Source organism: Homo sapiens, chromosome 15, assembly GCF_000001405.40.
Source record: "Homo sapiens chromosome 15, GRCh38.p14 Primary Assembly".
Lineage (NCBI taxonomy): Eukaryota > Metazoa > Chordata > Mammalia > Primates > Hominidae > Homo > Homo sapiens.
The window spans coordinates 82,333,609-82,360,906 of NC_000015.10; the positions used below are offsets into that span (position 1 = coordinate 82,333,609).

At 49.2% G+C, this 27,298-nt stretch overlaps 1 protein-coding gene and 3 pseudogenes across 3 annotated transcripts in view, besides 1 other annotated feature; 3 read left to right on the top strand and 1 right to left on the bottom strand.

The window, feature by feature from the left end:
• Window positions 1–953, top strand: part of ADAMTS7P1 (ADAMTS7 pseudogene 1) — a 41,279-nt pseudogene extending 40,326 nt beyond the window's left edge. Inside the window, exon 24 of the transcript NR_045529.3 lies at window positions 636–953. The product of NR_045529.3 is annotated as an ADAMTS7 pseudogene 1 (transcript). The remainder of the gene's footprint in view (window positions 1–635) is intronic.
• Window positions 954–3,570: 2,617 nt separating this feature from the next.
• DNM1P43 (dynamin 1 pseudogene 43) lies at window positions 3,571–4,840 on the top strand (annotated as a pseudogene).
• Window positions 6,385–15,867, bottom strand: GOLGA6L10 (golgin A6 family like 10). The gene is made up of 9 exons (NM_001164465.3): window positions 15,684–15,867; window positions 13,902–14,021; window positions 13,219–13,278; window positions 12,953–13,033; window positions 12,201–12,288; window positions 10,980–11,818; window positions 10,653–10,713; window positions 9,510–9,612; window positions 6,385–9,300 (listed from the first exon to the last, which is right to left on the bottom strand). The coding sequence occupies exons 1-9, from the start codon at window positions 15,765–15,767 to the stop codon at window positions 9,168–9,170; spliced, it is 1,569 nt and encodes a 522-aa protein (NP_001157937.2). The 5' UTR covers window positions 15,768–15,867; the 3' UTR covers window positions 6,385–9,167.
• Window positions 21,087–21,588: an enhancer, noted in NCBI's record as "NANOG hESC enhancer chr15:82798244-82798745 (GRCh37/hg19 assembly coordinates)". NCBI's record gives its function as "activates a minimal SCP1, AML or CMV promoter by ChIP-STARR-seq in primed H9 embryonic stem cells {active_cell/tissue: H9 hESC(primed)}" and the evidence as "EXISTENCE:reporter gene assay evidence [ECO:0000049][PMID:30033119]".
• UBE2Q2P2 (UBE2Q2 pseudogene 2) overlaps window positions 21,528–27,298 on the top strand; it is a 60,476-nt pseudogene continuing 54,705 nt past the window's right edge. Inside the window, exon 1 of the transcript NR_004847.3 lies at window positions 21,528–21,766. The product of NR_004847.3 is annotated as a UBE2Q2 pseudogene 2 (transcript). The remainder of the gene's footprint in view (window positions 21,767–27,298) is intronic.

Sequence of the window (27,298 nt, forward strand, 5' to 3'; positions counted from 1 at the left end):
CCTCCCTCCCCACTGGGCCTGGGCTTAGTCCCTGGTTTCCGCTGACAGCCTGTAGGGCCCACTCTCTCTAGGCTTCGTGGCCCACCTGGGAAATGGGAGGCTGGCCTGGGAGATGCGACCTGTGACTCAGAACCCGAGGCTGAGTACAGCCCCTGTGGCTGGAGGTGGTCACGGAGGCCTGGCAGGACAGATGCACTGGGGCAGGGGGCGGTGGCGGGAGTCGGGGGCAGAGGCCACTGCAGGCTGGCAGGAGGCCCCGGGACCGCAGTTCTGTGCCAGGATCTGTCGGGGAACACCAGGGGTGAGCAAGGATGGAGATGGGGTGGCAAGGCGTCGCCCTGGGCAGGCTCTTTAACAGGCATGTGAGGGGGTCAGGGTGCGGTCTCAGGACCTTTCCTCCAGAAACCTCAGCCCAGCAGCGCCCGTTCTCGAGTCCTGGGGTCGGCCGTGAGTAGGTGGGACAGAGACACCAACAGTTGGAGACCTGCAAGTCCAGTTTGGGAGCCGCTCCAGAAACTGGGGCTCTCTGCTTGGTGGGGAGCTGCTGGAGCCTCCTTGAGGTGGTTGGGGTGGGGAGCCAGGTTCTGGGTACCCCAAACCACTGGTTCTGATGCCTCTCTGCCCCCCCACTCCAGGCTGTGAGCGGGACCGCCTGTCCTTCGGGTTCTGTGAGACACTGCGCCTACTGGGCCGCTGCCAGCTGCCCACCGTCTGCACCCAGTGCTGCCGCTCGTGCTCTCCGCCCAGCCACGGCTCCCCCTCCCGAGGCCATCAGCGGGTCACCCGCCACTGACGGTGCCAGGATGCACAGACCGACCGACAGACCTCAGTGCCCACCACGGGCTGTGGCGGAGCTCCCGCCCCCTACGCCCTAATGGTGCTAACCCCCTCTCACTACCCAGCGGCAGGCTGGGGAGCTCCTCCCCCTCGAAAAAGGTATTTTTTTATTCTAACAGTTTGTGTAACATTTATTATGATTTTACATAAATGAGCATCTACCATACTAAAGCACAGTGTGACTTCATCTTGGATTTGGGGAATCTTAAAAGTGAGAAACTCTTCCCCCGACCCCTCTGCCCAAAACTCCACCGCTGCAGCACCTCGGCAGGCGCGGCTTTTCACCTGCTCCTCTGGGGCAGATCTGCAGGGGGCAGCGTAGCAAACGAGTCCCTGAGAGCATGGCATCTGGTGAGGCACGGAAGGCCTCGGAAGCCAGAGGGCTGCTGCCCAGGGAGGCCTGTCTGCAGAGGGTGGGGTTCTGGGGGCAGGAAGGTCTTCTGGGCAGGGGCACAGCTTGGCCCTTACTTGCTGCCTGCCTTCAGCTCAGGCTCCCAGCCTTCCCTGGGGCCCCACTCTGTGGTCCTCAGAGACCTGTTCCACAGGGATTGAGCCCACCTTGTCACTTGCAGGGACTGCCCCCTGGAGTGGTGGGGACTGGGGCCCCCATGGGCACCTCCCTGGCTCTGTCTGTTCTATCTGTTGACTCTTCTGCAAAAAGCGGGCAGAGAGGGGAAGAGCAGGCTGGCCAATTTTGCCCTACTGTGTCCCCACGTGTCCCTTCATCTCTGTGCCCAGAGATAGGGCTGGGCTAATTGCCACTGCCTTGGGTTGGCCCCTTTCCCACCACCAGCCCAAGCAACAGGTTCCTACCATGCTGATCTATGGTCCAGCACCTGGCACCTGCCTACCCACAGCCCCTTCCCCTCCCATAAAATCTAGTCCCATGGAGCCAGACAGTAGTGCCCACAGCAGGGAACAGATGGGCATGAAGGTGCTTTGAAGAGGGTCCTGGCCTGACCAGGGGCGGGAGGCTGGAGAAGGGGCGGACACTGTCCTCCCAGGCCCAGGCCCAGCCCTGGATCCGACCCTGGCCTCTGGCTGTGAGCCTTAGACTCAGCCGTTGACAATTTCCTCCTCAGCCCTCCCCCTGGAAGGTGTTACGCCCCTTCTACAGGTGGGGGACACTAAGGTTCAGAGAGGCCACCCTGCAGCCTACAGGGGTCACCTCTCACATTCTACTCTCCAGCGTATGACAACCCTGGACGAAAGGCAAATGTAGCCCTGGAGCCTGCATGTGGCAGCCGCGGCCACTCAGGGCTGGGTGTATGCTGGGGATGGAGAGGACACCACTGAAAATCACTCCTGGCTGGGCGCGGTGGCTCACACCTGTAATCCCAGCACTTTGGGAGGCTGAGGTGGGCGGATCACCTAAGGTCAGGAGTTTGAAACCAGCCTGGCCAATGTGGTGAAACCCCATCTCTACTAAAAATACAAAAATTAGCCGGGTGCAGTGGTGGGCACCTGTAATCCCAGCTACTTGGGAGGCTGAGGAAGAAGAATCGCTTGAACCTGGGAGGCAGAGGTTGCAGTGAACTGAGATCACGCCTTTGCACTCCAGCCTAGGCGACAGAGGGAGGAGACTGTGTCTCAAAGAAAAGAAAAGAAAAGAAAAAAAATTACTCCTTAGGGACTGAGACCAAGAAAGAGCATCAGAGGCTGAACCCCTTGGTGAAGAGCGTCTGTCCCAGGACTTGGAAGGGAGGGAGGGGAATGTGGCCAGGGGGGCTGCCTGCAGGTGTCTGTCCTGCTGCTCCTCAAATCAACATGCTCACCTCATTTCACACCAACACGCCCCATTCTCAGAGGAGGAGCCCAAGGCCCTAAGAGGAAGTAACTGGCCCAAGGACACATGCCCTAGTGACACAGGCCCATCCTAGGCGCCGACTGCCCACCTCCAAGTTCCAGGCCACTCTGAGCAGGTGAAAGAGGGAGAGGGCCCCAAGCAGGCCCCAGCTATGGCTTTGCACAGAGAGGGCAGCCTGCCAGAGTTCACGCAGGAAAGCAAGTTGCTGGGAAGGCTAGCGTGAGTCCCAGCCCCGCTGTGCTGACCGAGGGTGGAGGAGCGTCAGACGTGCTTCCTGTCTGTCTGCAGCAGCCAGGCTGGCCCAGCAAGACCTGGGGACCCACGCTCTGAGTCATGGGTTCCCAGGCCTTAGTCAGAACTGCCCCTGGTGGCAGTCCCTTCCAAGGGGTAAGGAGCAGGGCCTGTCGACTTGCTCCTGACCCACACACTGAACCAGTCCCTAGGAACATCATCCTGGGCATGCCATACCTGTCGTGCAGTCTCAGTCATGCTGCCAGGGCAGGTATCCAGCTCCCAGCCTGGGAGTGCTGAGAGCCAAATCCACTGCAAAGCAGGGCTGATAGTCAGGGCCCCACCTCATCTATCTGTCGGCAATCCAGTGGTATCTAGGTGAGAGTCCCATACACACGGTCATCCCACAACACACTCCACACTCCACAGGCCAGGCGGGGACACACAGCCCCCTTCCCTCCCTCCCAGGTACCACCATAGCTGCTAGTGTGTGACCGAAGGCAGGGTCCCTGGCCCCCGCTGAATCACTATCGCCGACCAGCAGGCTCACACACCTTGGCCTGTTGCTCCTAGGGGTCGCCTGTGCTATTCAGCCAAGGGGACCACAGTGCCTGCTGGCCCAGCTGAGCTCCGCCTAGCGAGCCCACCTGCCTCTCCTGCCATGGACTCTCCCTCTTCTGCTTTTCCCAGCAGGAAGGGCCCAGCCTCACCTATGCAACCTGCAGCCCCACGCCCGCCAACCAGTTGAGGCTCCCCTCTTAGACTTATAAGTCTATGGCCAGTGGCATCCAGCTACCTGCCCTCCCTGCCTTCCCCAGGGTCCCTTCAGAGGACCCTGGGATTTTGGACCACCCAGAGGGGCCTCTGGCACTCACTCCAGTCATCCATCCCTTATAGCTTCACCATTTTTGGTTCAAGCAGTGTTCCCTTTCTATCAGGCCTGGTGGCTGTTGGGTGGGGCTCCCCAAGCAAGAGGTGGCCCTGGGCCGTGAGTTGGAAGACAGGGTGACCAGAGAAGAGAGAAGCCCGAGGGGGCTGAGCATTCATCTGAACTATGGGTGGACTGCCTGGGTGCCATGAAAGAGGCCAGCGTGTGTGGGGTGGGGAGGGCCGCCGCAGTCCCCAGGCACTACCTATGAAGCTCCGGCTTCTCCCTCCATCTTCCTCCCCTTTCTCTTCCAGCCCCTCTTTTCCAGGAACCTTGCCATGCCCACACCTACGCCCTCCCCTCCCCGGCCCTCCACAGCTGCTGCAGCGCACCCATACTCTGCACTTGCCTCACCAGCTCTGGCTTTTCTCTAACCCGTTTTCTCTCTGCTTTCTCTCCAACTGCCAGCTGATTGGGTCAGGCAAGTCCATCCCATCCGGGGAGCCCCAGGCCCCACTTCGACCTCTAAACAGATTCCTCCTCTTCTCAGAGACCTCCCTTTCCAAGCCTGCCTGGGTGGGTGTCCTGTGACTTGACAGTGGCTCCCCCAGCCCCAAAGCCAGCCCCCTTCTTCTGTGACTTAGTCTGTTGTAGTGGTGAGCTGACACATCCAGGTGTGACCGTTGCTGAAAACTTGTGCCCCCTCTGTGGTATGCCCCTGCCCTGTTCTATAAATAGCTATAAATTATCATATATATACACATACACAAACTCACACACACACACACATATATATATATACACATATACATGTGGTCGACTGCCTCGCCTCTAGCACTGGGAATCAGTCCCCGTGCTGTGCTTGTGGAGTCTTGTAGCCCAGCAAGAGGAAGCTGTCTCCTGACATCGCCCCTCCAAAGTGCACCACCTCCAGTGAGCTTCCGGGACATGCGCGGCCTATGGACAGCCAGCCCCCGCCATCCCTCCCGCCCTTCTGGCCAAGCATGGCGGTGCTGTGCAGGCAGCTGTGTGGCCTGACAGTCTCTACCAGTCCTGCTGTCCCTCGGCTGAGAAACCCATTTCTGAATGACAGAGAATGTGTCCTCTGCTGGCTGTGTTCTCTATGGAGCTCAGGGGAGGGAAGAGGCCAAGCCATTTTTAGGGTGCTGTTGGCAGCAGTGAAAAGGTCACACCCTTTTCAAGGGACACTTTTCCTGGAAAGTCCCTGGAGCTTAGCTGGCTCTTATTCTGTGAAGCCGGCTCTGGCCAGTAGGGCACAGGGCCCTGAACTCAGCCTGGAAGGAGCCTGTGGGGCAGCCGGCACTCTGGAGGGACAGACAGGCCACCCGGTGCAGACAGGAGAGGGAGGCAGGGGGACGGAATGGAAGATACGTGGGGTGGATGGAAGTCAGTGCCCTTGGGCACTGGTATCTGTCTTCCTGACCACAGCTAGATCAGGCTTCTCAACCTGTTGGCTCTCAGGGCCGGACTATACTCCAGAGGCGCCATGGCAGTCCTCGTGAAATCCACCAGGTATCACCAGGCAGCATACAGGTAACAGGCCTGGAAGATTCCCCACAGCCCAGCTGGACATGCTGAGACACTCTGGGGCTCCTCATTGAGTGGGAAAAACTGCAGGACCCAGTGAGGGAAACAGGAACATGCCAGGCCGAGCAGTATGGCTAAATCCATTTATTCCAAAATCAAAAGCGAACCAAAACAAAAACAAAAAAACAAAACAAAACAAAAAAGGGGTCCCATCACCAGGGAGCCATGACGCCATCCCCACCCCCATCATCGCTCCTATGCTAACAACGAATAAGTTTCCCAGCCGTGAATAATTATAAGAACCTCTTCCTCATATGCCAGCTGCAACCTCCGCTAGGTACAATACAGAATGTTACACAGCTACAGTATGTACACGGGGGAAGGGGGGCCACCCCCAGCAGCCTGTGCCCTGGCCTGGTCTACAGTTAACTCCACTGTCCCGCCTCAGCTGCCTCTCTGAGTAAGAAGATGGGAGCCCCCTTGAGGGAAAAGTTGCTTTGGTGAGAGTAAGAAGGCCGTCAGACCTCCTCCAAACAAACCAACTCCACCAACCTCTGGCTCTTAAATAACATCATCATCCAGAAATGTAAGGACTCAGCCTTGGTCAAGGTGGTAAAGGGTCTGTTTGTCTCCCTCCATTAGACAAGGGTCTTGTCTTGCTACCCTAATGGTAAAGGGCTGACTGGGGAGGGGTTGTAGGGACATGGTGGGGGTGAAGACTCCAGACCCACTTCTCCAGGCTTATGCTGACAGGGGCCTGCTTTTATTTATTTTTATTTTTATCCCATGATGTTTTTTTAAATCCCGTAACTTCTTTTTCAGAACTTTTTAAAAAAACTTTTCATAAAACTTTTTTTTTTTACTTTTTTCCCACATCTTTTTTTGCCACAACTTTTCCACAGTATTTTTTATCCCGTAACTTTTTCATCCCACAACTTTAATTCCTGTAATTTTTTAGTTTGTGTTCTTTTAATAAACACACTTACATGGTTACAATTTTGTAAGAATAAAAACCGATTATCTCATGCCAAGCATGCCCAGCATTTGCACAGTCTCAATACCTTTAATACTATAGTTTTCAAGACACACAAAATTTTTAGGCAAAACAGCACCTTGAAACAATCTAATAATTTATTACATTACAGTAGCATCACAGAAGCAGTCAATAATGCCACTTTAGACAAAAATCAGTATTTCCATCATGCATTCTGTGTATAAGAATTCATAAATCGGTAAAAGTCGTTCTAAGAAAACTTGGCAAATACAGCTTTGGACTGGAATTGGCATTTCTTTCTCTACTTTTCCTTCCCCTAGATTCTTTGTTTTAAGCTACAGTATTCGTATTTTAAAATGTTTTAAATTATTTTAAGACATTAATTTAACAGTTACATTTTTGAATAGTTATTTGAAAGTGACTGTAAGATAAAGTTTTAGAGAATCTATTTTGGATAGGGTTGATTTACATTTTCACATTTTCTAAAAATCAGCTTTGGTTTTAGAACTGATTGTTTTTCATTTCAGGAAAACCTATCAGGTTTAATCTATTACTTTAAAAATAATTATCATATATTGCAGTCTTTAAATAGGTATTTTGATTCTTTACTTCCTACAGAAATTCAAATTTATTCAGTCAAACTCACATTTTAAAATTCTCTCTTTCTGCTGAACTCTAACCTTCTAATATTGCCTTCTAAGCAAATTGAAAGCTGCCTTATACTGAATGAGGAAGAGAACAAATACTTGGCTGAATGAGGTACTGCAAGAGACTGCATGCACTTTGAAGAAAGACTTGAGTTATTGTCATAGGATTTCCATTCTCTTTAGCTTTTTCTTAAACATATGACAAAATACCTACACAGAGAGTGGTATTTGAGTTAATATAGTACATTTATTTTTCAGACTGACATTCAGCTTAAATATGCCAGTATGTGATTTAATCCACAGGTACCTGATGAACACATTATTGTCAGATTGGTTACAGTTGCTAAACGCTATCTGAAGGTCATTCCTAGTCATTTATACGTGTCAGGGTAAAAGTGAAGCGATTTGAACTATAAAAATACCTTTGAAATAATTTATCAATGTATTAGATAAGCTCAGTTTCAGAATGATAAACAAAAACTGTTAGACCAAATAACGTGGCTAATTAACAGTGGTACGATTTCTAGCCCGAGGGTTTAAAATGGAGTTAAAGTAAGTGTCTTTAAACTGAACTCAAAGAATGCAAAAGCGGCAAGTTCAGACAAGGCAAGAACAGGACCTTTAGTCCATTTTAAGCCATAAATATTACACAAAATATGCCTCTAACTGAAACTGAGAGGTATAAAAACATATTTCACTCTTCGTAAAGAACTTTGTGAGGAAATATAACTCTGTGATTGTATAGACACTTTCCTCATGACACTTTGACAGTCACAAACAGTAGATTGCGCTGCAGTTTGTAAACATTTTACGTTGCATAAACTGCTCCTTGATTTTCAAATGTAGTATAATACTGTCTACTAAAACTCCTTTTTGTTTCAACTAAGTACTCTCACATATATTAGTTTATAATAATGTTTGTTATTATTTTTAAAGTGTTCTCCATTCAAGGAAAAGAAGTAAATTCCTATGTCAGATGGTTGAAGACTAGCTATTAGCCAGAGAGGTCTAGATGGTAAAATCCATCTTCTAGCCTCAGATAAGCTCCATGAACACAGAGGAATGCCAGGTGTCACACAGCTTTCCTTCACTCGAATTCATTCTTGACTAGAGCCTGTATATGCCTGTTCCAGGGGCATTTAAACTCTTAAAGGATTTCTTCTGATCTTTACTAAATACATTAAGGAGAACGCCAACCAGTGCCCTTTTGTGTACTGGGACATGTAGTCATGTGATTAAAACAGGGAACATGAACTCTGACTTTAAAATGTATTGTAGATATAAATGCTCTCAGCTAGAAAAGGTTTTCCACATCCACAGTCATGATGGGAGCCTTTCATTCCTCAGAAATAATCCCTTTTCAGGTCATCAAAAAAGAGTACAACTGCCACAGCTCATGAGGCAGTATCTTCATGAGCCCAGAGCACATACAAATCCTAAGGGAACTACCGTAGTACAGCGCTCATTCTTGGCACCGGAACAAATGAAACATATTCTATCCTGCACACACCTGCCAAAGCAGGCCACTTTCCTCTTCTGGGAGATTTAAAAACCTCCCCAAAATGTTATTACTCCCATCCCCAATACACAGAAAAAGGGGGAAAGGCTGTTTCCAGTGCTCCACCTTTAAACAACTGTAAATGTCAGTACTCACAGTGGCATATTACAAAGTAATAGACCGCGCACTTGAGGGCAAACCACATATTGAGCTAATGAAGAGCTCACTGTGATTAGGATTCGATCAAACATAACAGCAGAACATAAGGAAATTTTATCTGAATTCCGTAATGAATATACAGGCTGTACTAACATTAAAAAAGCATGGCAGCCTATCCCAAACCAGCAAGAACAGTTGTGTGCATACAGTGGGTCTTTGTGTGTTTGAACTCCCACCACATAAGGGCAAACTCGATATGCATGCTAACGTCCTATAATTATCAAATTAAAAAAATGCTAAAAGATGCCAGAGTGAACATGAGAGAAAGACCCACTCTCATTTAACTTTTTACAAATAAATTTAAATTATAAATTAGAAACACAAATAAATTTAAACTATAAATTAGAAACACAAATAAATTTAAATTATAAATTAGAAACACAAATAAATTTAAACTATAAATTAGAAACACAAATAAACATAAGTGGCTCTAACATTCAAATGAAGTAAATGAATTGTGTAGGATATTAACCCCTTAAATGTTTTGTTTTTTTTTTTTTCAATTTCTTGACCCGCTCTTAGATGATGGTGATGTTTAGCTCCCTGTTCTCCGCAGCCCGAAAAGAATGGCATGCAGCCTCTTCTGCTCCTCCTGCCGCCTCTCCTGTACCAACAGCTTCTCCACTCAAGCCTGGGTGCTCCTGGGGAGTCCTGCATTAGAGGAAGCAGCTGCTGGATCTGCTGTGCAGTGGGGTTGTCATGGGGGAGAACCCTCCCTGTCCTCTCCCGGTGCAGCCTCCATGCTATCAGTGAGGCTCAGCTCACTAAGATCTTCAGAGAGAGGGAGGGGGTGGGAATCTGGGCACAGTGCGAGCCTCCCCTGCTCCTGCCTGCCCACCCCGCCTGAGGGCTCTACTCACCACCCTGCTTGTCCGCACATCCAAGCTCCTTGTGGGACTGGGGCTCCAGGTACTGGTCTGGCTGCTGCTGCAGACTCGGAGCCTCTTGGCTCTTCAGCTCCACCTGCCGGAAGACCCTGGGCATGAGGACATGTGGTGGCTGGCTTCCAGATTCCTGGCCCATTAATAGGGTAGCGAGGGCACTGTGGGGCTCTGTGGCCTGCCCAGGCCCCTGGCCCCTTGCTCCAGGCCTAAGAGACTGTCTCCCTTGCCTAGAACCCCATGCCTCCTTCCCTAGCATCAAATCTCACGTCCTTTTTCCCAGCATGTAAACTGTAGGCCACAGACTGGTGGAAAAGCAGGCGGAGCCAACCACCATCTGCTAAGTGTGCTACATGCCTAATGTTTCCACGTATTATCTCATTTAATCCTCAGCACCTCTGCAAGGAAAAGGCTAACTTCCTTTTGAAGTTAAAGAAACAGAGACTTAGAGATGCAAAGTAGTTGAATTATGACCAGTGGAACCGAGGCCGGAATCCAGTTTGAATCTAAGGAGTCTTTTTTGTTTTTCTGTTTTGTTTTGTTTTGAGAGAGTGTCACTCTGTGTCCCAGGCTGCAGTGCAGTGGTGCAATCTCAGCTCACTGCAACCTTCATCTCCCGGGCTCAAGTGATTCTCGTGTCTCAGCCTCCTGAGTAGCTGGGATTACAGGCATGCACCACCAGGCCCGGCTAATTATTATTATTATTTTTAATTTTAGCAGAGATGAGCTTTCACCATGTTGGCCATGTTGGTCTCAAACTCCTGACCTCAAGTGATTGTCCTGCCTCAGCCTCCCAAAGTGCTGGGATTGCAGGCGTGAGCCACCACACCCGACATAAGGAGCCTCTTATACCACTGTCTCTTCCTCTGTGATTGGGGGGCTCCATGCCTCTAGCTGGGATGATGATGATGTCCAGACCTGGGAGGGCCCCAGGGCTACCCACCTCTAAAAGTCAGAGGGCAGGAAGCAAGAAACAGTCATAGGACTGCCCCGGAGGGTGCTGGGGTCACCTGTCCCCAGGCTGCAGCTGCCTGTGGCCTGGCACCTCCCCTCCCCAGAGGCTGGTGCCCGCCTCCCACATCTTCTTGGATGGGTCGGAGGTTACAGTCTCTTTCAGCTCACCCGACTTCTCCAGCTCCTTTACTTGCTGCTCCAACTGCAGTGTGCTCTTGTTCTCGTTGTTCTGGACAGAGAGAAGCAATCAGTGGCCACCCACTAAAACTGGAGACCCCAGAACTTAGTGTCTGCCTCCCATGGCACCGGGAAGGGTGGAGGCAGGTTAGAAAAATATCCCCTCTCTCCCACAGCCATCAGAGCAGGGCTCTGGCTCACAGATGCCTTTAGAAGTACCATTTCATGTGAAGGCTACAATGCCCCATTTTACAGGTGGGGAAACAAAGGCCTTGAGGGCTAGGGAAGAGGGCAGCCTCCCCAGGTGGGGCAACGTACCAGCTCCTCGAAGCCGCTGCGTGGCTCGGCCCGCTGCTCGTACAGGGCTTCCCACCCCAGCTCCAGCATCCTCTCCAGCTCCCGCAGCCTCTCCAGCTCCCGCAGCCTCTCCAGCTCCCGCAGAGTCTCCTGCTGCCACAGCCTCTCATCCTGTTGCCGAAGCCTCTCCTGCTCCAGGAGCTCCTCCACCTCGTCCAGCAGCCTCTCCCTCTCCAGCAGCCTCTCCTGCTCCTCCTGCCGCCTCTCCTGTTCTAACAGCTTCTCCACCTCTTCCAGCAGCCTCTCCTGCCCTGGCAGCTTCTCCTGTTCACACAGCCTCTCCTCCTGTTCACATAGCCTCTCCTCCTGTTCACATAGCCTCTCCTCCTGTTCACGTAGCCTCTCCTCCTGTTCACACAGCCTCTCCTCCTGTTCACATAGCCTCTCCTCCTGTTCACGTAGCCTCTCCTCCTGTTCACGTAGCCTCTCCTCCTGTTCACACAGCCTCTCCTCCTGTTCACGTAGCCTCTCCTCCTGTTCACACAGCCTCTCCTCCTGTTCACGTAGCCTCTCCTCCTGTTCACACAGCCTCTCCTCCTGTTCACGTAGCCTCTCCTCCTGTTCACACAGCCTCTCCTCCTGTTCATGTAGCCTCTCCTCCTGTTCATGTAGCCTCTCCTCCTGTTCACGTAGCCTCTCCTCCTGTCTCCTGTTCAGGAGACTCAACATCTGATTGTTTTCCACCTCAGCCTGGAGCTGTCTTCCCACACTCTCTAGCTCCTTCCTTAGGTGGTTGGTCTCATCTTGTAGCTGCTCCACCTTAGATGGCCCTGCTGGGGGCTCTGGGGCCAGGGGTTCAGCTGAGAAAGCAAGCAGAGAATAAGGGCCTCTGGATTCTCAAAAAAAAAAAAAAAATCCTCCCTTTGGTGCACAGCTCCTCCTCTCAGGCTTCCCAAACTTGGCCTCACTGCTAATGACTCCTCACACCCGGATGGTAGACAATCTTCCAAGTCACTTTCAGATAGAGAGCACTGTGGGTGGCTGACAATGGGCACTCCTCCCTCTTTACTGATGGGGACACTGAGGCTCATGGAGATGACAAGACTTGTCCTCCCCTGGCACAGACCTCTTTCCCTCTGCCTCAAAGCCCTTCCATCCACCCACCTCCCTGGGGCATTCTAAGTCACCCCCACAGCCCTCTAATGCCAGTCCAGCTGCCAGGTCATGCCAGCCCCATCTTACCCGTCTGGTTTTTGAGTTTGAACAAGCTCCTCCCAAGCTTCTGTACCAGATGTATCTCATGCTTCTTCTCCTCCTTAGATGTGCGAACCTGCCCAAAGCAAAGGGGGAAAAGGGCCCTGGAGGGAGGGGCTGGTGAACGTCCAGAGACAGAGTTTGAGAAAGGCCCACCCCCCTTCTGCCAGTTTGTGATTTAGAAACGTGCATTCATTCAACAAACATTTACTGAGCATCTACAGGCCAGGTACAGTTCTTCATAGCAGAGATATAAAACAGCAAAGGACAGACAGGAGCCCTTGGCCCTGAGGTTTCCATTCTAGGGGCCTTTAAATCTCTGACTTTCAGAGCTAACCAAGACCTTTGATACTCTCTACCTCCTCCAGAAACACGAGCATAAAGAGGAGAGATGGCTTGTCCAGACTCAAAAAGCAAATTAGGGACTGAGGCAGGGCAGAAATATGGACCCCTGACAACCAGTCAGGCTAGTGCTTCCCAGAGAGGTGACAACCCCAGGGCATGTGTGGCAAGGACTAGAGCAGGGGTGTCTGGAGAAGAGAGAGTCAGCAAAGAGGGCAGTGCAGAAGACCCATGCTGCATGTTCTGTGCTCTGGGGTCCCTCCAGGTGAGACCTGGGTGCCCAGCTCCCCATTTGCCCTTGGCATCAGGGGCCCCTAGCCCCTTTCTTCAGGGCCCCAAGAGGAAACTGGAGTCCAGGATTGACCAGCTGTAATCAGGGGACCCCACTGGACTCTTACCAGTGAATTGATGTTTTCAGTGAGTTGACTGATTATTGCGGAGCTTGAATCCAGGGCCACTGCTAGTTCTTGGTACTGGCTCTGAGGTGCATGCAGAGAGAAGGAGTTGGAGGAAGATTGTGGCGAGGGGTAGAGAGAATAATCATTAGGGCTGGTGGGGGTGTGTGGGCTGCCTCAGCTGGCAGAGGGGCAACAAGCCCCTGCTGTGGGAGGAGGTTGGAGGGCTGGCCTGCAGGGTCACTGCACCTCGGCCCAGGGCCTCTTACCTCCAGATCCTGCAGGGTAGTAGAGGATGCACGGCCCTCCCCGTAGATACCTGTTGCTGACTGCAAGAGATGAGAGTGCACATGGAGATGTTCTGTCCCCCCCTCACTGTCTAAGCCCTCTGACTTCCTTTCTTCCCCCATCAACTGGCAAAAGCTTCTTTTCTGCCTATCTTGGACCCTTTTCCCCATAACTCCTTTGTGCCAACTTCTCTCGTGGTTCTTATCTCCCCACCATCCCACCCTGGGGCCCTTTCAGTGACTCCTAAAGGGACAGCCTGATGGCAAGTGGCTCTTCTCATTGGCCTGGCTTCCCCTTGAGACTGGGGATGAGGAAAATCAAACAGCAACGACCATTTCCTCAGTGTCCTGGGTGTTTGCAGCAGGCCATGTACTAAGGATTCACATAAAAGCAACAATAACGAATCTCATTTAAACTTCACAAATGGAAGTCAAAAAATACCACCTCTATTATACAGATGTGAAAAGAGAGGCCCAAAGACCTCAAGCAACTTGCCCTAAATCATATGCTAATCAATCCCTAATCAATTCTTAGCAGACGGAGAGGCAGGATTCAAATCCAGAATTCTTAACCAGTACCCAACAGTCCATCTACAATCTTAACAATTACCCTCTACTGCCCCTTGGGCCCCCTGTCCCCAGGAGCCTGGCCCGCCGAGACTCACATCCCCAGGTGAGTGGTAACCACCAGAAGTGGCTGTGTCAGGGCTACTGCCATTGACTTTCTTTTTCCTGTTAGCTCCTGCTGGAATGCCAGGGCTCTTCCTCTGCCAATATGCTTTTAACTGTGGGAAAGAAGAGCAGTAACACTCATGAGAATGATCAGCCCCTACAGCCACATCCTCCTTTACAGTTTTGACAAAATACCCTTATATACCATCTGATGTAATGCCACCAACAACCGTACAAGGTGTTGTCACAATCAGTGACTGAGAGGGATTCATATCATGGATAGAAAAAAAAAAAAAGAAAGATCAAAAAAGGCAATACTGGAACTTAAACTCAGTCCTCTGACTCCACGCTCTGGGGTTTTGCCATGAATCAGCAGCTTCCAGGGACCAAAACCAGGGGCAGAGGTAGAAAAGCACACATTAAGCAGGCAGGAACTGTAGGCCGTGTGGTTTAGAGTCATACATCCTCACAGGTCTGCTAGCGTGAAGAAGCGTACCAGTACCTCTCACACTTTCATATCAATGTGTCCTCATGGCAGAAGGCAGCTTTTCTATTAAATCTGGGAATTTATCAGAAAGAGGACAACCCAAGCCTCATTTCAGAGCAAAGTCTGGTATACGCTTGGAAACCTATGTGTCTGTCATCCCCAAGTACATTAATGCATTTTCTCAAGAGAATCAAGGGAAAATGATGCTTCAGAAAGATGTCCCGCATTTATCCTGTGGCACTCAAAGTACCCCAGGTTGAGACGATATGAGGAAGATTCAAGCTGTCAAGTTCAGTTTCCCAAGATCTATTCCACAGAAGATGAGCAAATCTCACTTCAGAGGCCACTGACTGAAGGGCAGTCTGGTCCCAGAACCGTGGAGAACTCAGAAAAAAATGTTAAAGTCTCTCTGGAAAGTAGAAGCCTGGGAAAAAACCAAACCAAACCCATTCTCCCATTGCCACCCAGAGATACTGTGAACATTTTGAGCTCACAGGGGAAGTGTAGGCTTTTCCCACTGTCAATGTCTATGTTAAGGGAGTAAGGCAGCCTGAAACCTCTTGCTCCTAGGTCCCATAGTCTCCACTCCCCTTCCAGCTGGAAATTTGTGCTGCAACCAGAGGAACCAGAAATGGGGTGAGAAAACTTAGGGGACTGGGTTGTAAGATCAAAGGCTGGTCTTGCAGCAGTAATGACAGTTCCTAGGGGCACTGTGACATCATTGCATTCCACTCCTCCCAGGGGAGGGGACCACATCAGCGCGATGCCCGAGTCGCTGCTCCACGATGGGGGAGGGAAACACACGGTTTCGACCCAGGTCCTCAGAGACGCCAGCCCAAGAAGCCTAGGGAGGTCGAGCTTGGGGCAGCAGGAGGGGAGGGCAGAGTCTGCAGTAGGGAGCCCCGGGAGTCACCAGCCCAAAGCCACCCAGGGATGACTGGTGAGGGCAGGGCCTGGGGCTGGGGGACCCAGGTCCTGGGAGACGCAAGCCCAAAGAGCCCAGGGAGGTTGGGCTTGGGGTGGCAGGAGGTGAGGGCTGATTATGGAGCAGGGAGCCCCAGGAGTCACCTGCCCAAAGTCACCCTGGGGTGATTGGCAAGGGCAGGGACTGGGCTGCTTGCTGAAGGGGTGGGGCTGACTGACTAGGCTTTGGTTGGGGGAGCCCAGAGGGGCTGGGGTTGGGGGGCCCCATCTGGTATGCCTCAGGAGTGGTATGGACTCTGGCACAGGTCTTGTCATCGGAGGGGATCTGTGGCTGGGTTGGGGGCCATGACCTGGTGTGTTTTACCTTTTTCTTGGCTGCGGCCAATTTCCCCTGTTGTGTTTTTTCTGACATCGCGGGGTGGGGAGGGAGGCGGGGTTGGGGCCACATCAGCGAAATACCAGTGAGCACTGCTCAATGCCTCCAGTCACCTACCAGGCAGCTGTGCAACTGAGCCACAGGTGGCGTAACCAGGGCACCAATGGAACGCAGAATAGGGGCGTGGCCTTAATGCTCCAAGCCCATTGGTCAGTGAGAAAGATGAAAGGGAAAGGAGGCGTGGCCAGGCGCAGCATGTCCAGAGGGACCTGTGGCATCATAAGGAAAGCTGCCCATGCAACCGCTGTCCCCGCCCACTCAGAGAAAGGGGAGGGGCCGCCCACTCTGGGAGAGGGGAAGGGCTGGGTTTTGCTTTAAAACTTTTAAAACTGTAAAAAATAAACTTTAAAAAATATATGTGTATATACTTTATATATATGTGTGTCTGTGTGTGTGTATCTATGTGTTCCTCCAGAGCTGTCTTCATTATGCAGCTTCTGTGCAAAGTCTGTGATTTTGGCCTATATTTTTCATCTTCAAATGGAGTACAAGAATTACCAGTATTACCTTAACTGAGATATAGATCCTATAAAAATGGAAAATCCATAGCATGCTTGATGATTAATGAAGCCGACTATAGTATCCGACATTCCAATAAGACAAAATAATCACAACAATTTCTCTTTTTTGGAAAAATGTTTGTCTTATTCTCCTACATTATTGTTAAGATTTCTTTTAAAAACAAGAAACATGTCTAATATCTTTAAAAACACAAAGCTTTTGGGCCGGGTGCGGTGGCTCACGCCTGTAATGCCATCACTTTGGGAGGCCGAGGTGGGTGGATTGCCTGAGGTCAGGAGTTCGAGACCAGCCTGGCCAACATGATGAAACCCTGTCTCTACTAAAAATACAAAAACTAGCCAGGCGTGGTTGCGGGTGCCTGTAATCCCAGCTATTTGGGAGGCTGAGGCAGGAGAATCACTGGAACCCAGGAGATGGAGGTTGCAGTGAGCCAAGCTCACGCCACTGCACTCCAGCCTGGGCGACAGAGCAAGACTCCATCTCAAAAGAAATAAAATAAAATACAAAATAAGTAAGAACACAAAGCTTTCAATTTAATAACCACTTAAAGCTCTTTACTGGTTTAAGAGAATTACAAGGCCCATTTTTCTAGAATCACCTGGCCTCTCTAAGCCTTGCAAATGAAGCTGAATTTCTCACTTGATACTTGGCTATCACTTGCAGTCATGAAAACCAAGAATTTGTTATGTCACTGTGTATTGCTTGTTACCTGAAATCCACACTAGGCTGGGATCAAGGGTTGAATCTTTCATGATTTTCTCCATAACCTGTGTGCTTCTTATCCCACACCAAACTAAGCTTTTTTTCTAGAGCTCTGCAACTTACAGTTAGTATATGAGAGCAGTTCTCAAAAATGTAGTCTCTGGACTAGCAGCTCCAGCAGCACCTGGGAACTTCTTATAAATACACATCCTCCGGCCCCACCCTGGACCTGATGAATCAGAAACTCTGGAGTAGGGCTCAGCAATCTGTGCTGCAGTAATCCCTCCAGGTGTTCAAGAACCTCTGGCATACAGCAGGTAGAAAAATGTGTTTCCTTCTGTAGGTCCAAAACCAGGGATACTATATGTTCTGTCTCTATATGAAACAATGACGTGCAATTAAAAGACATAAATCTCCTTCCTGCTCCCACCTTCCAGCCAATGAGTTTTATTTTTATGAGTTAAATAAGAAAACAATCAGAGATTTCGTCTAAATCGCATATTTACAGGTATCAGTTCTCATCCAGCCTGATCTTATCCAATATCATTTATATTCTCTTACATGTGAAGTTTTAGAGAAGGATCTTCACAATGTAAGACTCAGGCACACTAGGAGTTCTGTAATAAAACACCAAGTAGATCAGAATGTCCAAACTTACTGGAGAAGAAAAGTGGAATCATTGGCTATATTTTCAAATGGCAATAAACAGGAAATTAAAGTTTTGAATTTTTTTTCACCTTCATCCTTCCACGTTAATAGAATTAAGCCAAAATACTTGTCTTCCAAAGCCTCTAGCCAGGCAAAATTTTACTATATTACTTCTTGCTTTTCAATGGCTATAAAGCAGACTCCTGGTAGGCACATTTGGTATACCTGCAAAGATGAAGAACTAAACAGTTCCATCTGTTCAATACTGAAACAAAAGTCCTGCCAACCTCGGATGGTGAGTGTAATACTTCAGCACTAGCACCAAAGCCTCAAATATGAAAAGATACCAAGAACACCACTAGCAAACAAAACTAAACTCTCGGCTGGGAGCTCTAGTTCATGCCGTAATCCCAGCACTTTGGCAAGCAAAGGTGGGAGGATTACTTGAAGCCAGGAATTCAAGACCAGCCTTGGCAGCATAGTGAATTCACACCTCTACAGAAAGTTTTTAAAATTAGCTGGGTGTGGCAGCACACTTCCCGGGGCTGCTGTGCCATTGCTGGAAACTTCTCTATGGAGAGTACCAAGTACTTCTACCTGTAGCATTTTCCCTGGCTGGAATCCTGCAATTATCACAGTAGCCTGAGATCCAAGAAGGCAGGGCAGGAGCATCCTGTCCCCTTCCCAGCAGGTGCAAGGGAGGCTGGGGGGTGAGGCACAAGCCAGTGGGAGGGTGAGGAGCAGGAGGGATGCATGGTGAGCCTCTGTTGACTGCTTGCTGCCTCAGCTGGAAGGTCAGGACCCAATGTCTATTACAGGTTAAATTACAGAAGTATTTCAGATTTTGGATTTTTTTCAGATTTTGGAATTCGAAAATCTGAAATCCAAAATGCTCCAATGAGCATTTCCTTTGAATCTGGCCTTCGAACATCATGTCGGCACTCAAACAGTTTTGGATTTTGAAGCATTTCAGATTTTGGATTTTCAGATGAGGGATGCTGTATTATCTTCTGAATGAGGCCACTCATTCAGGAAAGCCCAGAGCTTGGGGACGTGGAGCTGCAGACCAAAGAGGTGATTTCTGTAGTGGCTTTCAGTGCGGAAGGGCCCACAAAGCGGTTTAAAGCAAGCCACAAAATAGGAAACCCAATATTTAGCTAATGGAACTCTGATAAAACCTGCTCAAGATGTCTGTCTCTACTAATTCAGATGGAGCCAAGCCAAAGCATCATTATTATTTTAAAAAGGCACCAATCCCTCTGCAAAAGCACTGAATTATATCATGATACAATCATCAATTGTACCATGAATCACCATCAGCGGTGGTCTTTTAGGGATATGAAGAAGGGGTTTTCACAATACATCGCATGACACACCATCTTCCAAATCTCTAAACATTTCTCTCCACAGCCCAGTCCTCTCCATAGTTGTCCAAATCCCTCCCTCTTTTCTCTTGTTGTCTCCAAAACTCAAAACCATGCTCTGACTTTCTATATCCTGCCCTCCCCTTCTAGGACCACGTGGGAAGTCCCCTGCTTCCCCAGGGTGTCCCCTCCTCCCCTTCTGGGATCAGTCATCTTTCCTCAAATGGACCAGTTCGGCCTCTCTTAGTTTCTCCAACTCTGCATCTCAACCTTTCTCCCTTCACTACACAATAATGTCCAGGAGGCAAAGAGCCCACAAACCTGGGAACCTCCCTTTCCAGAAGGGAGGAGAGAGGTGACTACAAATATTTGGTTATGATTTTCTTCCCTGCCACGCCTGTTTTCATGGGCAGTGCTGAGCCCCAGTCCTGGCAGAGCTCAGAACCAGGCTCTCATGAGCTGGGGCAAGTGGGGCCTAGGGAACCTCTGGGTTGAGGACCTTGCACCCCACTCTGCAGCTGCCCTGCTGATTTGGCTCATGCAACCTCTCCTCCTGGGCTCAAGCGATCCTTCTACATCGGTCTCCCAAGTAGCTGGGATTTGGGCTACCACGTTTGGCTAATTTTTGTATCTTTTAGTACAGATGGGGTTTCACCTGTAGCCCAGGCTGGTCTCGAACTCCTGGGCTCTAGTGATCTACCCTCCTCAGCCTCCCAAAGTGCTGGGATTACAGGTGTGAGCCACTGCGCCCGGCCTTGTGCCAGCTTTTAAATATCAACAAGGACAGATTAGAGAACAGTGGAAGAGGGTGAGCAGCATGATGAGGTGATACAGAAATAATTTCACATGAAGAACTGGGCATGCTTGGCCTTTTTTTTTTTTTTTTTTTTTTTAAGCCATTCTGGGTTGGGTGCTGAGGCTCACACCTGTAAGCCTGTAATCCCAGCACTTTGGGAGGCCGAGGTGGGTGGATCACCTGAAGTCAGGAGTTCGAGACCAGCCTGGCCAACATAGTGAAACCCTGTCTCTACTAAAAATACAAAAAATTAGCTGGAATTGGTGGCATGTGCCTGTAATTCCAGCTACTCGGGCAGCTGAGGCAGGAGAATCGCTTGAACCTGGGAGGCGGAGGTTGCAGTGAGCTGATATCGTGCCATTGCACTCCAGCCTGGGCAACAAGAGTGAAACTCTGCCTCAAAAAAAAAAAAAAAAAAGGAAAGAAAGAAAAGAAAATATATCTATGCACCAGAGCTCAACACGAGGTTAGGAGCATTTCTGAGATTTGGAGCTATTCAACCATGGAAGTTCCTGGCACATACATCAGGTATTCACAATACCCTTTCTCAGGTGTTTGGTCACTGCTAGTGAGCCTGCCTGGATCAGTGTTTCCCAAATGGCAGTCATTTGCATCTTTGCATTTTTTTTGGGGGGTGGGGGGGTTGTGGGGGTATATTCCATACCAGATTTTTAAAAAATTGACATTAAAAATACATGTATAAAATGTGTAAAGTGCACTAATCTAAAGTGCACTGGATGTATTTTTTATTGATGTACATACTTTTGTTATCCATCACCCAGGTCAAAATACAGAATCAGCACCACAGAGGGTTCCCTCCTCCTCCTTCCCAGCCAATAATCTTCTCCTCCTACCTAACCAACTGTTCTTACTTCAAGCACTGTCAACTAGTATTTTACATTCTTGAACTGCATATAAAGTGTCTCAAGTTTCACTTAACACTTTTCTTGAAATACACTTGTTTTTTGCCACTTTTTATTTGACCTAAGAAGTAACATTAATGAAACAATGATTTGACGTGATAGGCATTTCCCTCCTAATGAGCACTAAAACACTTAACTATTTGAAAAAAGAAGTTTCTCCGTGTACCAACTAATATATTCTCCTCGGCCGCCGTTGGTACACGGACCACATTTTGTTTCTCAAAGCAATCCGATGATTTCTGAGGTCCTTTGCAGCTTGAACACGGAACGACTGTGGTGATCGAGTAGCCAAAAGTTCACGGAATGCACTGTCACAATTGTGATTCCGCCATAGCGCCGTGCATCCATCCAACACTTGTTTAATACCTATATTTAATACCTAATACCTTAGACTGTCCTAGGCTGTGGACACACAAGACTAAACCCCACTTCCTGAGTTGAAGTGGGGGAAATAGAGGAGTAAATCATTTCACGATGTGTGGTTAAATGCTACAGCTCAGGTAACCACGAGCACACAGAGAAAGGGCAGTTTCTAGAAACAGGGCGGAGAGGAGACCGTGAGTGGGCATTTCCCAGAGCAGTCTCTGCCAGCCACCCTGCTGTGATCACTTTGCCACAGAGCAGCCCCGGCGGTCAACCTCAGCCTCCCTTAGCAACCTGAGCGCCCCGCCCAGGTGCCTTACTATTGGTCTCGTGGAGCGGGATGGGCAGCTCTGCCGTGCAATCCCAGCTCGCAGCCCTTGCTCCGCGTGTACTCACGGGAGGACTCGCAGACGTTACTGCCCTCTTGCGTGCCCCGGCCACCCCCGGGCGGCTTGTAGCCGGTGCGCGGGGTGGCTGGGGCTACGTGCAGAGCTGTCGCGGAGCCGGAGCAGCAGCGGTGAAGGCCCTCGGCTCGGCCGAGACCGCCGTGCCCATTGCTCGCCTCGGTTGCCGCCGCTTTAGCCGCAGCCGCTGCTGCCGCCGCCGGGGGAGAGGCAGCCTATTGTCTTTCTCCGCGGCGAAGGTGAGGAGCTGTCTCGGCTCGGCCCGCGGGGGAGCCCCGGGAGCCGCACGGTGAGAGCGCAACTTAGTTGGCGGAGTTGGGGGAAGTTTTGTGATTTGAGGAGGGGTCGGGGTGCGGAGCGCGGCCCGTCCCCTGCGGCCGCTCGGTGGGGCGGGCCCCAGAGGAGGGTCGGGGGCTGCGCGGGGCTTCAGGGGCGGGCGGCACGGATGGGTAGCCGGGCGGCGCGGGGACCTCAGCTTTGCGGACCCCTCCTCCCTGCGCATCACCCTTCTCCCGCATTGTCTGCTTGGGGCTCGGCGCGCCTCCCACTCCGCAGCCCAACTTGGGGGCCGTCGCCGCTTTCCGGATGGGGGGCGCGCCCGGCGGCGGATGGCCCCGAACCCTTGCCCCGGGTCCCCGGGTTGGCGCCGCTGGGGCGGACTCACTCCTCCCCTGGGGCGGGCGGCCGCGGTGTGGAGTCCGCGCCGCGAACAAGTGCTGCGGGCGCGAGGGAGCGGTTCCCCGGGGCCGACGCGGACGGTAAACCTGTCCGGCGGCGCCCGCCTGCTGGGGCCTCTCCGCTGTTTCTCGCGGGCGCGGCCCGGCTGAAACTGCGACCGTCGGAGGCGAGCGGCCCTCTGGGACCCGTGCAGCCGGTCCACCTTGCAGCTATACTTTGAGACTAAACAATTTTTTTTTTTTTGCAAAGGCAAACCGGTATGTGAAGTTGAAAAAATCAAAAACCCTCAAATTTTCCTTCTTTTTTTTTTTTTTTTTTTAAATCAAGAAAGGGGGTAGATAGGTTTGTTTTGTTTTGGAAATAGTTTTTATAGCAGAGTGATACCGTCACATTTAATGATCCTACTGTGAATTCAAGAATTCACGATGAAAGTTGGATTGAGCGGTATTTTGGTGTTCATTCTTTGCTGATACTCATTAATGAAGTTAGTTGGAGAATTTATTGCTTCAGTACAGTAAAAACCAGTGTGCCTTTTTTTTTGTTACTACTCCCCCCTCCCCGCATTGTTTTATTTTTCGAAGAAGCACTTTATTCAGTTTTTCTAAGCCACGGGATTGCCCAGATGAGGACCAACGGTGCAGTTCTTGAAAGGTCATTATTGGCAAGTTTGTGAGGGAGCTAAGATGAGTTGAGATAAACCAGTGTTACTGTTCTTGTATTCTGTCGTGGACTCTTGGGGATTTGCAGGCTGCATTAAGTACAAGTCTGGTCCAGTTTTGGGTGCACGTATTCCACTGAATTTGGTTCGTCTGGCTTATTATATGAACATGATTCTGTTTCACTTCCCCAGATGGAACTAGCTTAAATGTCTATCATTTATAGTGACAAATGATCAAAATGGCTAGAGTGTCATTTATTAACTTCAGTTGTAGTCCTTTACCTTACCTTCTGCTAAATGAAAAAGAAAAATTTGACAAATACTGTGTGCGTCATTTTGCTCTGAGTGATTTCTCGTGCTAAGTGAGTCCTGTGGAGAAGCGTTCCTGGGCTTTTCTGGTTTGGTGGGCCTTGTGTTATAAAACCAATTTTCTTCACCTGATGAAGCTAAAGACAAATTTTCTTCAGGCACAGGCATTGCCCTTTTAAACTACAGAGCCACTTGTAGGATTCACAATACTCACTCAATGGCTTCCCTTCCTGGCAGTGTGGTTTTGTGTGTGTGTGTGATTGTGGGGAAGGAGGCTGACAGAGGTTGGAAGGGATTGTCAGGGAGGGACATCATGTAAGCAAGTACTAACAACATAACGTGACGAGGGCACCAGTTGCTTTCCTTCTGTGGGCGGTGATGGCATGTTATACTGTAGGTACTATTGTTGTAGGATTTCTCACAGTTCGTTTGCCTTGACTAAATGGTAACTGCACACATACTATACTATAAATGGACTCCTCCTCTAGTCCTTTAACTCCTTGAGGGCTGTGATAGACCTTATTTAACTTTGTATCCTCTTTGCCAGTGGTCTTAACATAGTGCAGGCACGGTATGTGTTTGAATTGGGTAAATTACTTTTACTGCCTAGTGGTAGCTGGTGTACACAGGAGAGGGCCACCAACTCTGGGGACTTGTCCAAAATGACAGTTCACTTGCAGATCTCTGATGAAATTTACTTTAAAAGGATTTCTAACCTTTTTTTTAATCTGTCGGTTATTTTTTGAAAAGAAGTGGGGCTTAACTAGTGCTCTAAGGATTTTAACAAGAGATTCCGATTTAGAAATCTGTCCCCCCTTTTGGTGAAATTCTTATTTTTTTTAGAGTCAGAATCTTCACTGTTGCCCAGTTGTCTCCCCGGGACCCAAGCCGTCTTCCCACCTCAGCCTCCCACAGTACTGGAATTACAGGCGTGAGCCACCCCACCCAGCTGGTGAAATTATTAAAATTGTAGTGAAAACTCTGCCTCCATTGTGAAATTGGAAAAAAATTAGAAATTTTAGAAAAAAGTACGCCCTTTGGAGCTAGGTAGAGTTCAGATCCCCACATTTCCATTGAGTAGTTGCATAGCCTCTCAGAGCTTCAGCTTCCTACTCCTTAAGGGTTAGTAACATGCTTTGCAGTGTTGTTAGGAATCAGTGAAACTGTGTGAGATACTTAACTGCAGTATCTAACATGGAGTAGGTAGCTATTTCCTGGTAGCTGTAATGATAATAATTTTGATACGTTTTTACATGACTTAAGCATTCTGAAAAGTCTGATGCTTCTGAGTATGGAGGCTTAGCTATTTCTTTCATAAAGAAGGGGCCCTGAGACTTGTGAGTCTTATCCAAATGCATTTCTTCAAAGGTGTCAGATGAACTGAAGGATAATGGAAACAATAGCAAATTTATCTTCTCAGTCACCTGTGAGTCTTCCTTTGAGAGTGGGACTTGCAGAGTACTTGGTAGGGTAGAGCTCTTTGTGACTATGCTATTTAGGAAATGGTGAGAGATGGATTGTTTTCAGTACATCAGTCATAAGAGGATATGAGTGAGTTCCAACTTTCCTTATTTTACCTTAGTCTTGACAAATAACAAGTATGGATTATGTCTGTATTTCTCCGACTTGTTTAAGGTAGAACTGGACTGGGTGTTAACAGTGTTAGTTCAGTAGAGACATGAGCAAATCACTCACTTCCCCTTCAAGATAACACTTTAAAGGTGCCACCATTTGCAGAAGAAAGCAGTGATTTAAAGCAGCTATACTAGCACAGTTTAGAATACTTACACTAGCTGATGGAGTAGATACATTCTAGAAATATTTACCTGTAGTGGGAGTTGAACAGTGAGAACACACGGACACAGGGAGGGGGGAACATCACACACTGGGGCCTGTTGGGGGTTGGGGGGCTAGGGGAGGGATAGCATTAGGAGAAATACCTAGTGTAGATGACGAGTTGATGGGTGCAGCAAACCACCATGGCACGTGTGTACCTATGCAACAAACCTGCACGTTCTGCACATATACCCCAGAACTTAAAGTATAATAATAAGAAAGAAAAATAAATATTTACCTGTTAAGGACATTTCTGTGTATTTTATTCCATCTTTCCAATAGTTTTCTTATGAAGAGATTATAGTAAACCTTTGAACTTAACAGATTGAGGGTAAACCTTTAAAAAATATATTTGGTCACACTTACAGACTGAGGGTAAAAACATTCCTGACAAAGCTAGGCGAAGACACTTGGACTTTTTTTTTTTTTTGAGACGGAGTCTCGCTCTGTCACCCAGGCTGGAGTGCAGTAGCACGATCTTGGCTCACTGCAACCTCTGCTTCCCCGGTTGAAGCGAATCTTCTGCCTCTCCCGAGTAGCTGGGACTACAGGCACACGCCACCATGCGTGACTAATTTTTTATTTTTAGTAGAGATGGGGTTTCACCATATTGACCAGGCTGGTCTTGAACTCCTGACCTTGTGATCCACCCGCCTCAGCCTCCTAAAGTGCTGGGATTACAGGCATGAGCCACTGCACCCGGCTGAAACTTGGACTTTTGATGTTTCCTTCTTTTAAAGTTAACATCTAGCACTTGAATAGACTTGGTTATTACTGATGGGGACAGGCATCCATTTGGAAGTAGCTTCCCTCTCTCTCTCTTTCCCAGGTTAGGCTGTCTTACTGCTGTAAATGGGGAGAGAAGAGAAAGCCGTGGGTGGAAGAAAGTGTTTCATGGCCTGGTGCGGTGGCTCATGCCTGTAATCCCAGCACTTTGGGAGGCCGAGGCGGGTGGATCACTTGAGTTCAGGAGTTCAAGACCAGCCTGGCCAACATGGTGAAACCCCGTTTCTACTAAAAACAGAAAAATTAGCTGGGCATGGTGGCGGGCACCTGTAATCCCAGCTACTTGGGAGGCTGAGGCAGGAGAATCACTTGAACCCAGGAGATGGAGGTTGCAGTGAGCCGAGATTGCACCACTTCACTCCAGCCTGGTCGACAGAGCGAGACCTTGTCTCAAAAAAAAAAAAAAAAAAAAAAGTGTCCCACTCAGTTGCCCAGGCTGAAACGCAGTGGCAGGATCACTGCTCACTGCAGCCTTGAACCAAGCGATTATCCCACCTCAGCCTCCCAAGTAGCTGGGATCACATGCATGCACCGCCATGCCTGGCTAATTTTTTTATTTTTGTAGAGACAGGGTCTCTCTATGTTGCCCAGCCTGGTCTCAAACTCCCGGGATGAAGCAATCCTCCCACCATGGTCTCCCAAAGTGTAGGGCTTACAGGCGTGAGAGCCTGCTGGGGTTTTTGATTGACATTGCATTGAAACTGGAAATCAGTTAGGAGGCAACTGACATTTTAATAATGAGCCATGAACATGGTATATCTATTTATTTAGACCTTCTTAGATTTTTCGTCAGTGTTTTGTAGTTTTTAGCAGTTGGATCTTGCTTGTATTTTGAAATCTTACACATTTATTTCATGTTTGTGGTACTGTTGTGAATGATACTTCTCAATTTCCAGTTGGTGATTGCTAGTATATAGGAAGGTGATTTTATGTTATATGCTGACCTTGGATTCTACAACCTTGCTAAACTCATTTTTAGTACTAGAAGCTTTTTTGTAGATTTTTGGAATTTTGTGCATAGACAGTAATGTCACTGGCAAATAAGGGCAGTTTAATTTCTTTGTTTTCACTTTGTATACTTTTATTTCCTTTTTTTTTTTTGAGATGGAGTTTCTCTCTTGTTGCCCAGGCTGGAGTGCAATGGCGTGATCTAGGCTCGCTGCAACCTCTGCCTCCTGGGTTCAAGCGATTCTCGTGCTTCAGCCTCCCCAGTAGTTGGCATTACAGGCGCCCGCCACCACGCCTGGCTAATTTTTGTATTTTTAGTAGAAATAGGGTTTCACCATGTTGGCCAGGATGGTCTCAAACTCCTGACCTCAGGTGATCTCCCCGCCTCGGCCTCCCAAAATGCTGGGATTATAGGTGTGAGCCACCGCTTCCGGCCTAAGAGGACACAGTTTCTTTGGCTTATTAAGAGGTATTTGGTTAGTGTTAGACCGGGGGTTGGTACATTATAGCTTGCTGACTGGATGTACCATGCTGCCTCTTTTTATAAATGAAGTTTTATTGGAACACAGCCACACCCATTCATTTACATATTGTTTAACAGAGACC